A 13,290-nucleotide genomic window follows, 5' to 3' on the forward strand; every position below is an offset into this window, starting at 1 on the left:
GAAACTAACCTGGCCAACTTGTTGAAACCCCATGTCTACTAAATACACACAAAAAAGGGCCCGGCGCGGTGGCTCGTGCCTGTAATTCCAGTACTTTGGGAGGCTGAGGTGGGAGGATCACCTGAGGTCAGGAGATGGAGACCATCCTGGCTAACATGGTGAAACCCCGTCTCTGCTAAAAATACACAAATTAGCCGGGTGTGGTGGCATGTGCCTGAAGTCCCAGCTACTTGGAGGGTGAGGCAGGAGAATCACTTCAACCTAGGAGGTGGAGGTTGCAGTGAGCTGAGGTAGCGCCACTGCACTCCAGCCTGGGCGACAGAGCAAGACTCTGTCTCAAAATAAACAATTAACTGGGTGTGGTGGCACACACCTGTAATCTCAGCTGCTCCTGAGCCTGAGGTGGGAGAATCACTTGAACCCGGGAGGCAGAGGTTGCAGTGAGCTGACATTGTGCCACTGCGCTCCAGCCTAGGGGGGAGAAAAAGAAAAAAAAGAATTCTGATCCAGGCACTGACTCATTGAGCAAGTCATCTTTACTGTTCAGGCCTCAGCTTTCTTCCTTTGTTTTTTTTTGAGACAGAGTCTCATTCTATTGCCCAGGCTGGAGTGCAATGGCATGATTTCAGCTCACTGCAACCTCTGCCGCCCGGGTTCAAGCAATTCTTCTGCCTCAGCCTCCCGAGTAGGTGGGATTACAGGTGCCTGCCACCGCGCCCAGCTAATTTTTGTACTTTTAGTAGAGATGGGGGTTTCACTATCTTGGCCAGGCTGGTCTCGAACTCCTGACCTCATGATCCACCCACCTTGGCCTCCCAAAGTGCTGGGATTACAGATATGAGCCACCGCACCCAGCTAGGCCTCAGTTTTCTAATGTGTAAAATGAAAATATGCACTAGACCTTCACTTGTTTTTTTCTATGTGATAATTTTTTTTAAAAAAAGAAGGTGTCATGTTACATTTTATCTTTATGTTTACATTTCATCTTGTAAGGTTGCCTTTGAGCCTTGACACAGTGATTTTTCTCATTCAACTAGTTTCTCTCCCATCTCAACTAGTGACCTCACCATCCACTAATTGTTTAAGCCAGAAATTGGGAACTTTTCCTTGGTTCCTCTTCCTTGTTTACTTCTTCCATCTACCCCATGAGCAAATCCTATCTGTTCTTCCTTAAATTTAGTTCCCAGATCTATCTCCTGCATCTCAGGTCTATGTACTTCTTCCCATCTCCCCTGCTACTAGTCTGTCCAGAGCTACAACCACTTCCCTTATAGATTATTGGAATAACCTTCTTATTGGTCTTCATATTTTCACTCTGACTCCCCTCTGATCAATTTTCTGCAATGCAGCCAGAATTATCTTTTAAAAATGTAAGTTTGAGCCAGGCACAGTGGCTCACGCCTGTAATCCCAGCACTTTGGGAGGCCAAGGTGGGAGGATCACCTGAGGTCAGGAGTTTGAGATCAGCCTGGCCAACATGGTGAAACTCTGTCTCTACTAAAAATACAAAAATTAGCTGGGCATGGTGGTGGGTGCCTGTAATCCCAGCTACTTGGGAGGCTGAGGCAGAACTGCTTGAACCTGGGAGGCCATATATATATAAAGTTTGATCACACCACTGTCCTGCTTAATCTTTTTTTATTTTTTAACTTTTAAATTTTTTAAGAGAAGGGTCTCTCTGTGTTGCCCAGACTGGTCTCTAATTCGTGGGCTCAAGAGATCCTCTCATCTTAGCCTCCCAAGTAGCTGGGAATACAGGCATGTGCCACCACACCCAGTGACTTTCCTTCCTAAAATGCTTCAATAGTTTCTTTTTCTTTTTCTTTCTTTCTTTTTTTTTTTTTTTTTGAGATGGAGTCTCGTTCTTTCACCCAGGCTGGAGTGCAGTGGCGTGATCTTGGCTCACTGCAACCTCTGCCTCCCGGGTTAAAGTGATTCTTCTGCCTCAGTCTTCCAAGTAGCTGGGACTACAGCATGTGCCACCACACCTCAATAATTTTTTGTATTTTTAGTAGAAATGGGTTTCACCATGTTGGTCAGGCTGGTCTCGAACAGCTGAGCTTGTGATCCACCCGCCTCGGCCTCCCAAAGTGCTGGGATTACAGGTGTGAGCCACTGCACCCAGCCACTTCAATAGTTTCTTTTTGTGCTTAACATAAAGTTTAAATTCATGTCCAGAGCCTATAAGGTGTCATATGACCAGGCCCCTCAAGGTATATCCACTTCACTCAAGCCATGTTTGTCTCATCTTAATTCTTCAAACACCCCACATTCTTTCCTAACTCAAGGTCTTTGAGCTTGCTGCTTCTTCCAGGTGGACTGATCTTAGCCCTTCCCTTTGTTGTTGATTTTTTAACTTTTTTTTTTTTTTTTTTGTGAGAAAGTCTTGCTCTTGTTTTCCAGGCTGGAGTGCAGTGGTGCAATCTCGGCTCACTGCAACCTCCACCTCCTGGGTTCAAGTGAGTCTCCTGACTCAGCGTCCTGAGTAACTGGGATTACAGGCACCTGCCACCACACCCGGCTAATTTTTGTATTTTTAGTAGAAATGGGGTTTTGCCGTGTTGGCCAGGCTGATCTTGAACTCCTGACCTCAGGTGATCCTCCCACCTCGGCCTCCCAAAGTGCTGGGATTACAGGCATGAGCCAGCGCTCCCAGCCTTTTTACCTTTTTTTTTTTTAATTTCAATAGGTTTTTGGGGAACAGGTAGTTTTTGGTTACGTGAAAAGTTCTTTAGTTGTGATTTCTGAGATTTTAGCACACCCATCACCTGAGCAGCGTACACTCTACCCAATGTGTAGCTTTTTATCCTTCACCCCCCCAAGTCTTTCCCTGAGTTCCCAAAGTTCATTGTATCATTCTTATGCCTTTGCATTCTCGTAGCTTAGCTCCCACTTACGAGTGAGAACATACAATATTTGGTTTTCCATTCCTGAGTCTCCAATTCCACCCAGGTTGCTGTGAATGCCATTAATATGTTCCTTTTTATGGCTGAGTAGTATTTCATGATATATATATACACACACACACACACACACACACATATATACACACACACATTTATATGTGTATATATACACATATATATATATGTCACATTTCTTTATCCACTCATTGATTGATGGGCATTTGTAGCCCTGCCCTTTGAATGGCTGACTTCTTCTTATGCTTCAGAATTAATACTTTGTAATTACATTAATATGTTTTTTTTAAAAAAAAACCTTTTACATATATATTGGTCTGTCACAATAATGTATAACAATATTATAGTTTCTGTTTTAATGACTTAACTTTGGCAAACTGGTCAATGATTTCATTAAAACTGATCTTTTTAAAAATAATCAGCTTCAATAGACAGTTTAACCAGATTTGTCAACTTTTTGTTTTTGGCACAGTCTCACTCTGTTGCCCAGGATGGAGTGCAGTGGTGCCATCTTGGCTCACTGCAACCTCTGCCTCCTGGGTTCAAGTGATTCTCATGCCTCAGCCTCCCGAGTAGCTGGGATTAGAGGCACCTGCCACCATGCCCAGCTAAGTTTTGAATTTTTAGTAGAGATAGGGTTTCACCATGTTCGCCAGGCTGGTCTCGAATGCCTGACCTCAAGTGATCTGGCTCCCTCGAACTCCCAGAGTGCTGGGATTACAGGCGTGAGCCACCACACCCGGTCTCCATAAAAAAATCTTAAACAAAAGGATATGGTTGGTGAAATACAAATCCTATTGCGCAGTAATTTTCACAAATTTTAAAATTGACAATACCTTCGCTTCTTTCAGATCAATTATAGTGGCTTTCAAATGTCATCGCTCAAAAAAGTTCAAATGTCATCGCTCAAAAAAAAAACAAACCTTCACTAGAAAATTAATCATAAATTGATGGTACAGACTGGGTGCAGTGGCTCACAACTGTAATCCCACCACTTTGGGAGGCCGAGGTGGATGGATCACCTGAGGTCAGGAGTTCAAGACCAGCATGGCCAACATGGTGACACCCCAGCTCTACTAAAAAAAAAAAAAAATGAAAAAATTAGCCCGGCGTGGTGGTGCATGTCTGTAATCCCAGCTACTTGAGAGGCTGAGACAGGAGAATCGCTTGAATGCAGAAGGCGGAGGTTGCAGTGAGTCGAGATCATAACACTGTAATCCAGCCTGGGCAACAGAGGGAGACTCCTCAAAAAATATAAAAATAAATAAATTGATGTTACATTTGGAAAAACTGCTGAAATTTTCTTCTTCTGCAAAAAGTTAGAAAAAACCACTGAATGATTGAAAACATTGACATTATTTAATTCTTTGCTTTAGAGCAAGTACTCAGTTCTTGATTGAAGTGATTGAGGGATTCAAACATTGTCCTTTTGTTTTCTTCCGGTAACGTCAGACCAGCATATTTTGTTATTGCTGCTGGCTGTTTTCTTCAAAATTTGCTTTGAAAAAGATGTAAATGGCCATTTCCTTATACTTGTGATTAAATATTTGTTGGCCTTTCCACCAGTTCTCTGCACTGATCTTCAAGAAAAAATTTTAAAACCTGCACACAAAATTTTAAAGACTGAACACAGAATTTTAAAGCATGCACATTTTTCAAAGCTGTTTCTATCTCTTTGGAAGTTTGTGTCTGATTAAGTTCATCTAAGACTTCACTCCAGGAAAAAAGTTAACCCAGAAAAGATAAATAGCCTCAGCAGAGAGAAAAATCTACTGATTTTCTTGTGTCTACATTTTGTTTTAGATAGCATAATACTTCAAAAGTTGGTACTCATTTCTTAAACTTTACTGTGTGCATAGCTTCAAAATGAATACTTTGTTGTGTGTGGGAAAGCCTTTTCATTGTTATACTTACAATCTTCAGCATGGTCCATCCGTGAATCTTTTTTAAAATTGATAAAAAGGCCAGGCGCGATGGCTCATGCCCGTAATCCCAGCACCTTGGGAGGCCAAGGCAAGTGGATCACCTGAGGTCAGGAGTTTGAGACCAGCCTGGCCAACATGGTGAAACCTCGTCTCTACTGAAAATACAAAAATCAGCTGGGTGCGTTGGCGTGCGCCTGTAATCCCAGCTACTCAGGAGGATGAGGCAGGAGAGTGGTTTAAACCTGGGAGGCGGAGGTTGCAGTGAGCCGAGATTGTGTCACTGCACTCCAGCCTGGGCAACAGAGCGAGACTCCTTCTCAAAAAAAAAAAAAAAAATGGTTAAAAAGATGAAATAAAAATTTTCCAAGTTCCCCTCAACCCCCCTAAAAAAAAATCATACATGAAGAAACATTTCCAAAACAGTGGAGTTTGGAGATTGATTTGCACAAGCACAAATGAGGATTTAGGATAAATTTCTTTGACTTTTACCTGAACACTACAGTCAGTCTTGGCCATAGTTTCAGCATTGCCATGTCCTTGGTCATGATAGAGGTTCATGTCCAGCATATCACAATTCAGTCATATGGTGACTATTATGTGAGTTCAGGAGTGTTTATCCTAGAAATAGAAAGACACCCAGGAATGACTCCTTTCTTTCAAATTTGCTGTTCTCAAAATGAACATACTTAAGGACTTTACATTTGATCAGGGTATAAACCACTGGGAAGACTAAGTGCTCAGAAAAAGAACCAAAGACTTGGAGATAGGAACAGAGCCTGAAATGAACAGAAACTATTCTATACCCCCCATGAACCTAGAAACAAATGTGTATAGCTAAGCGTATTAGTCCACTCGGGATGCTTTAACAGAATATCAATAAACTGGAATGCTTCACAGTAAACATTTATTTCTCACAGTTCTGGAGGCTGGGAAGTCCAAGATCTGGTATCTGCTGAGGTTCCTCTTACTGGTTTGCAGATGGCCGTCTTCTTGTTCTATCCTCACATGGCAGAGAGCAGAGAACAGACCATCTCTTGTGTCTGTTCTTAGAAGAACATTAATCCTATTTATGAGCACTCTACCTTCGCAACCAAAAGGCTTCATCTCCAAATACCATCACTTGGAGATTTAGCCTTCAACACAGGAATTTTGGGGGTACACAAACATTCAATCCATAGCACTGAGTCTGTATGTGTTGGGAACTGATTGATAAATTGGAATTCTTCAAATTAACTTACATGTAGAATACAGTATTTATTAAAGGATAAGTAAAAAGAAATGTGTTAATTTATAGTGTATTTATTATTATTAAAAGTCTATAGGGCTGGGCACAGTGGCTCATGCCTGTAATCCCAGCACTTTGGGAGGCCAAGGTGGGGTGGATCACGAGGCCAGGAGTTTCAAGATCAGCCTGGCCAAGATGGTAAAATTCCATCTCTACTAAAAATACAAAAATTAATTGGGCATGGTCAGGCGCACGCCTGTAATCCCAGCTACTTGGGAGGCTGAGGCAGGAGAACTGCTTCAATGAACCCGGGAGGTTCATTCAAGATCACGCCACTGCACTTCAGCCTGGGTGACAGAGTGAGACTCTGTCTTAAAAAAAAAAAAAAAAAAGTCTACAGTAACTGCAATTGTTTAGAATTTAAGCCAACAAGATATGTTTTCTTTTCCGGGAGTTGTATTTTTTATCACTGATTGTCTACAATTGACAGTGCATGTCAAAAAGCAGACTTGTCGTGCTGCAGTGGCTCACGCCTGTAATCCCAGAACTTTGAGAGGGCGAGGCAGGAGGATTGCTTGAGCCCAGGAGTTGGAGACCAACCTGGGCAACATAGTGAGATCCCATCTCTAAAAAAATAAAAATAAAACCACTCATTTTTGTCAATTTTATTACTGCTTTTAATTTTTCTAAAGACGATGTGCTGCTCCAGCTCTGGGTACACACATGCCCACGAGAGCAAGCTCATGAGAGAAGAAACTACATCCCCTCTATCCACCTATATTTCTAACGCCTTGCACAGTAGCTGGCACATAGTGGACATGAAATAAATATTTGTGGAATAAATAAGTGAAGAAGAATTTTAGAATACTTTATAAGAAACAATAAATCTTCAGAGATCAACATTTCAAATTAGTAACTTTATTTACAAACCTCTCTTCTGGGTTTTATTATTTACTACAAGTGCTTGCAAGACCTGTTATTGTACACTCATGTATTCCTATCAAAGGTAATCATCAGACATTATATTTCATTAAATAATTTAATGGTGCTTTCTGTTCTTTATTCATTAATTTTTTTGTGTGTGTGTGAGAATGGAGTTTCACTATGTTGCCCAGGCTGGCCTTGAACTCCAGGGTTCAAGTGGATCCTCCTGCCTTGGCCTCCCAAAGTGCTGGGATTACAGGCATGAACCACCATGTCCAACAATGTTTTCTGCTCTTTAGTAAGTCTAGCCATATTAAATTTTATGTGTTTTTTTTTTCTTTTTTGAGACTGAGTCTCACTCTGTCACCCAGGCTGGAGTGCATTGGCGCGATCTCCACTCAGTGCAACCTCCGCCTCCCAGTTTCAAGCAATTCTCTTACTTCAGCCTCCTGAGTAGCTAGGATTACAGGCACGTACCACCACATCTGGCTATTTTTTTTTTTTTTTTTTTTGAGACGAAGTCTCACTCTGTTGCCCGAGCTGGATTGCAGTGGCATGATCTTGGCTCACTGCAACCTCCACCTCCTGGGTTCAAGTGATTCTCCTGCCTCAGCCTCCTGAGTAGCTGGGACTACAGGCATGTGCCACCATGCCCGGCTGATTTTTGTATATTTTTTAACAGAGATGGGGTTTCATTATGTTGGCCAGGTTGGTCTCGAACTCCTGACCTCGTGATCCACCCACCTTGGCCTCCCGAAGTGCTGGGATTACAGATGTGAGCCACCGAGCCCGGCCTAATTTTTGTGTTTTTGGTGGAGATGGGGTTTTACCATGTTGGCCAGGCTGGTCTCGAGCTCCGGACCTCAGGCCATCCACCTACCTCGGCTTCCCAAAGTGCTAGGATTACAGGCGTGAGCCACTGTGCCCAGCTCATATTACATTTTAAATGGAGGTAGAATATCAACCTGAATTCACTAAGAGAATGCAGGACAAATTGCCCTGATATCCTGACACAAAGGTGAAGCAGGACTTTTTTGTAATTTGAGGATTTAAAAGCATGGTTGCTCCAGGCCAGGCGTGGTGGCTCCTGCCTGTAATCCCAGCACTTTGGGAAGCCGAGGCAGGCGGATCATTTGAGGTCAGGAGTTGGAGACCAGCCTGGCCAAAATGGTGAAACCCTGTCTCTACTAAAAATACAAAAATTAGCTGGGCGTGGTCAGGCGCCTGTAATCCCAGCTACTTGGGAGGCTGAGGCAGGAGAATTGCTTCAAGGAACCCAGGAAGCAGAGGTTGCAGAGCCCATATCGTGCCACTGCACTCTAGCCTAGGTGACAGAGCGAGACCAGCCTGGCCAACATGGTAAAACCCCGTTTCTACTAAAAATACAAAAAATTAGCAGGGCAAGCTGGCGGGCGCCTGTAATCCCAGCTACACGGGAGGCTGAGGCAGGAGAATGGCGTGAACCCAGGAGGCGGAGCTTGCAGTGAGCTGAGATGGCGCCACTGCACTCCAGCCTGGGCGACAGAGGGAGACTCCATCTCAAAAAAAAAAAAAAAAAAAAAAGTATGGTTGTTCCAGTCCTGGGAAATTGAAATAGGGGGTAAAAAGGCTGGTGGGTGTGGTAGGCAGAATAATTACTTCTTCCCTCTCCCAAGATGTTCAGGTCCTATTCCCCATCCTATTCCCTGGAACCTATAGCTAGATTGCCTTATGGGGCAAAAGGAATTTTTCAAGTGTGACTAAATTTAGAATCATGAGTTAGAGAGATTATCCTGGATTATCTGTGTGGGTTTAATGTAATCACAGGGGTCCCTAGAAAGAAAAGAGGGAAGCAGAAAAGCCAAAGGAGATGGAATGATGGGAGTTGAGATCAGTCAGATTTACAGATGCAATATTGTTTCCTATAAATTCTGTGGTGAAAGAAATGCTATATTGTTGCTGGCTTTGAAGATGGAGGAAGGGGCTGAGAGTGAAGGAATGCAAGTGACCTTAAATTGGAAAAGACAAGAAAATAATTGGCCCTGTAGAGGTTATAAAAGAAGGGTGGTCCTTCTGACACACTGATTTTAGTCCGATGAGATTGATTTTGAACTTCTGACTTCCAAAAACTGTAAGACAATACATTAGTGTTATTGTAAACCACTACATTTTTGGTAATTTGTTACAGCAATAGGAAACTTATATAGTGGGCCCTGGGATCCATCTGCCCTAGCCGTTTATCTAAAACAAAAGATCTTATAGGGAAAGCAAACAAACAAACAAAAAATACAGAAACAAAGCAAAACAAAGCACCCCTATGCTCTGAGCTTGGGCCTGGTAAGGGCACTATGAGCCCATGATTTAGCATGTTGCTGGGAAATCTCCTTCCCCCTGTTGAGTTGCCAGAATCGTGGAAGCAGATGGTGTGGGGGATTCAGGCTCCTCCACTGCTTTTCTCAGCCAGACCTTTGAGGAGAGCTTGGCTGAAGTCTTCCAAGCTTTATCCCCTTGTAGCCATTGTTTTGAGCCATCTCAAACATTAAGTAGCTCTTGAGGGTTGAATTGAGTCCTTCCTAAAGACAGACTAAAGTCCTAGTCTCCAGGACCTGTAAATGTTCCCTTATTTGTAATTAGGATGTTTACAGATGTAATCAAATTAAAATGAGGTCATACCGGACTAGGGTGGGCTCTGATCCAATATGGCCGGCATCCTCATAAGAAGAGGAGAAGAGACATAGACACATAGGGAAAAGACCGTGTGATGATGGCAGAGATTAGAGTGATGTGTTTACAAGCCAAGGAATGTCAAATATTGCCGGCAATATCAGAAACTAAGAAAAAGGCATGGCACAGATTGTCTCTGAGAGCCTCTCAGAGAGTATGGCCCTGCTGACACCTTAGTTTCAGAGGTCTAGCATCCAGAACTCTGAGAGAACAGATTTGTGTTGTTTTAAGACACCCACCATGTGGTAATTTATTACAGTAGCCCTTAAACTAACACAGTGACCTTGTGTCTTCTGCCAGAGGGATTTGATCACACTGGTGAGGAAGGGTCCTGGTCCATAATAACCCAAATTTCTGCCAGGGAAGAGGAGATTGAAAGGTCCCAGTGATCTTGGCCTATTTACTTGGGAGCTCTTCCACAGAACAAATGAACTCCTGAAGATGAGCTGCTACAAGGATTCTGTGCTTTGGACAGAATTGCACTTGTCTCTTCCCCCTGCTGTCACTCCCTGACTAGGAAAGGTCCAAGCTGTGAAGGAATCCCCCCCAGAAGAGACTTGTAAGCATTAAAGACCTGTGGAAAACTAAGAGGGAGGGTGGATAGAGGAGTCTGGAGACCGACTAACCTTCTGAGCTGCTTATTGCCTGAAGTGGGGGTGGAGTGGGCTGCAAACACTGTTGTATTTGGGGGACACATCACAGATGCTTATTTGCACCTTGGACTTTGTCAGGACACTCTGGTTACAGCACAACTTTGTGAACATGGATCACAAGATACTTGGAAAAGCAGTGTTTGCATTAATCAGATTAGGATTAGCTAAAATTTTAATTAAAGAACCAGAGAGTACTTCAGAGGCAAGGAGATGATAGTTACCTGGGATTACTTGCTATTTGTGAAACCAACCAGCTGACCACTTGTGTTGTTTGTCCCAAGGTATAATAATAACTAGATGTTTGCATATTGTGATTGTTTCTGTTCGGATTTAATGGCTGATCTATTTATCATATTAAAAGAGGGATCAAGTTCAAAGATTTCAATGCTCTTTATCTTCTTTCTATATATGATATTTATTTTTAAATGTCCATATTAAATATACATATATACACACGATTCTCAGAATTACGAAGAATGTGCTGTGTAGCATTCAATTATATATATAATTTTTTTTTTGAGATGGAGTTTCCCTCTTGTTGCCCAGGCTGGAGTGCAACGGCATGATCTCGGGTCACAGCAACCTCTGCCTCCCAGGTTCAAGTGATTCTCCTACCTCAGCCTCCTGAGTAGCTGGGATTACAGGCATGTGCCACCATGCTGGGCTAATTTTGTATTTTTAGTAGAGACGGGGTTTCTCCATGTTGGTCAGGCTGGTCTCGAACTCCCAACCTCAGGTGATCCACCGGCCTCTGCTTCACAAAGTGCTGGGATTATAGGCGTGAGTCACCAAGCCTGGCTCCAATTCTGTATATTTTTAAATGTAAGTATAAAGATCAAAGATACAAAGTATATTCACATATCAGTTTCCATGTTGTTATTATTATTATTATTTGCCATTTTAACCATCTCCAGATGAAGAAAACTGAATGTAAAGTTAAATATCTCCTTAACTTTTACTCTATTTAAAAAGAGACTGAATTATTTGTGAGGTAACCCAGTTGTAGCTGTTCTACTCTTCTCTACTGCTAGATTTTGGAAGAACCAAAAAGGAATAAAGCAAAGCATGACACAGAAGAGAAAGCAGAATTATACTGTAGTAGTATGCTCATATTTTATCAGAGTTTGCCTGTACTTTTGCTGATTTTTTTTTCTCCTAGCTTGGACATTTTAAAGGCTTATTTTAAATTTATCTCTTCTGTATTAACAGGTGAGAAGTGGACAAATCAATGTATAAAAACTACTATGGCTATCATCATTTAGAATTTTGTCTTAAAAGTAATTGGATTTCTGGGGTCCTAGACACATAATGATTAGAGATCATGCCACCAGTTCTATATGGAGCCATCTCAATTCATCCTTTCTCAATTTATCCTTTCCAGGCATTTTTCTTGAAACTGCCTAAGTACTGGCGTCTCCCTACGACTATTATATCTGAAAACACATTCAGTTTTCAAACCAGCTGAATTTTATGCCTGACTATTCCTTTTAACTTATACCAATGAAAATCCTTTAATAAATTCACTCACAATTGCTCCACTTTCTCAAACAGAGCACAAAGCATCTAACAATATTTCTTCATGATTGATAGCATACACACTCTTGACTTCATATTCTTCAAAATCTTGGTATTTTTATAAGCATTAGTGCCTTTTTTTTCCCCAGTCAGAAGCACTGACGGATTTATTCTATTGGGTGTTGTCTTCTGTTTGGTCTTTAGCTTTTCTTAGCTGTGATCGTTTATTGCTGAATAATTAAGGGCAATTCTTTCCCACTGAAATACTTTTCAAGTTAAACATTTTTTCCTTAAATTTTTGCCCCAGGCTACTTCTAGATCCAGCGTTGTTCCAGCTTACTGAGCATTCCAGAGGGCTAAGGTCCAAGTTAGCCAAGGTTTTAAAATGTTGACCATGTGGACCTGAATTCTTTCCAGTTACATATTTGCATACTTTTAACAGGAGTGGTTATTTCTCGTCAAAAGACAGAACGCTGGAAATACCAGGGCAAAACTATGTGTTTTTTTCTTGGTGATATCTTGATCTTAGCATTTTACTCTCTCTTCCTGGTTTCTAGCTTGACCTTTGTATTTTAGAGGAGAGTAATAGAGTAACAGTGCACTGAGAAGCAATGGGACATGACAGAATAGTTTCAGCAGTGAAAGTCAGGGAAGCTGGTTTCAACCATTCATTCACAAGCTTAAAGGACTTTGGTATCTGACTTTGTGGATGCCACTTTCTCATCTGTAAAATAAGGGGGTTGGATCGTGTGATTTATAAGGGGCTTTCTTACTTTCTAACATTCCATATTCTATAAAGACAGTTAAAGTCTCCAGAGAGTAAAGAATGTAGAAAATTCCTGAAATTTACTCAGCTCCTTTATTCCTAAATATTTTTGAATTCTGAAATTATTATTATTATTATTTTTTGAGATGGAGTCTCACTCTGCTGCCCAGGCCAAAGTGCGATGGCACAATCTCAGCTCACTGCAATCTCTGCTGCCCAGGTTCAAGTGATTCTCCTGCCTCAGTCTTCTGAGTAGCTGGGATTACAGGCATGTGCCACCATGCCTGGCTAACTTTTGTATTTTCAGTAGAGAAGGGGTTTCACCATGTTGGACAGGGTAGTATCAAATTTCTGACCTCAAGTGATCCACCCGCCTCGGCCTCCCAAAGTGCTGGAGTTACAGCCAAAGCACCTGACCTGAATTCTGAGTTTTGATTCTGTTTTTTTTTTTTTTTTTTTGAGACAGAGTTTTGCTCTTGTCACCCAGGCTGGAGTGCAATTGCACGTTCTCCGCTCACAGCAACCTCCATCTCCCGGGTTCAAGTGATTCTCCTGCCTCAGCCTCCCAAGTAGATGGGACTACCACCGTGCCTAGCTAATAATTTTGTGTATTTTAGTAGAGATGGGATTTCACTGTGTTAGCCAGGATGGTCTTGAT

At 42.0% G+C, this 13,290-nt stretch overlaps 1 protein-coding gene across 1 annotated transcript in view, besides 1 other annotated feature; it reads left to right on the forward strand.

Annotated features, from left to right (window-relative positions):
- Positions 1-13,290, forward strand: part of TMC1 (transmembrane channel like 1) — a 316,690-nt gene that overhangs the window by 20,514 nt on the left and 282,886 nt on the right. The window lies entirely within an intron of this gene.
- Positions 9,549-10,049: an enhancer, noted in NCBI's record as "H3K27ac hESC enhancer chr9:75166586-75167086 (GRCh37/hg19 assembly coordinates)". NCBI's record gives its function as "activates a minimal SCP1, AML or CMV promoter by ChIP-STARR-seq in primed H9 embryonic stem cells {active_cell/tissue: H9 hESC(primed)}" and the evidence as "EXISTENCE:reporter gene assay evidence [ECO:0000049][PMID:30033119]".

The sequence above is a fragment of the Homo sapiens genome, chromosome 9 (genome assembly GCF_000001405.40).
Source record: "Homo sapiens chromosome 9, GRCh38.p14 Primary Assembly".
NCBI lineage: Eukaryota > Metazoa > Chordata > Mammalia > Primates > Hominidae > Homo > Homo sapiens.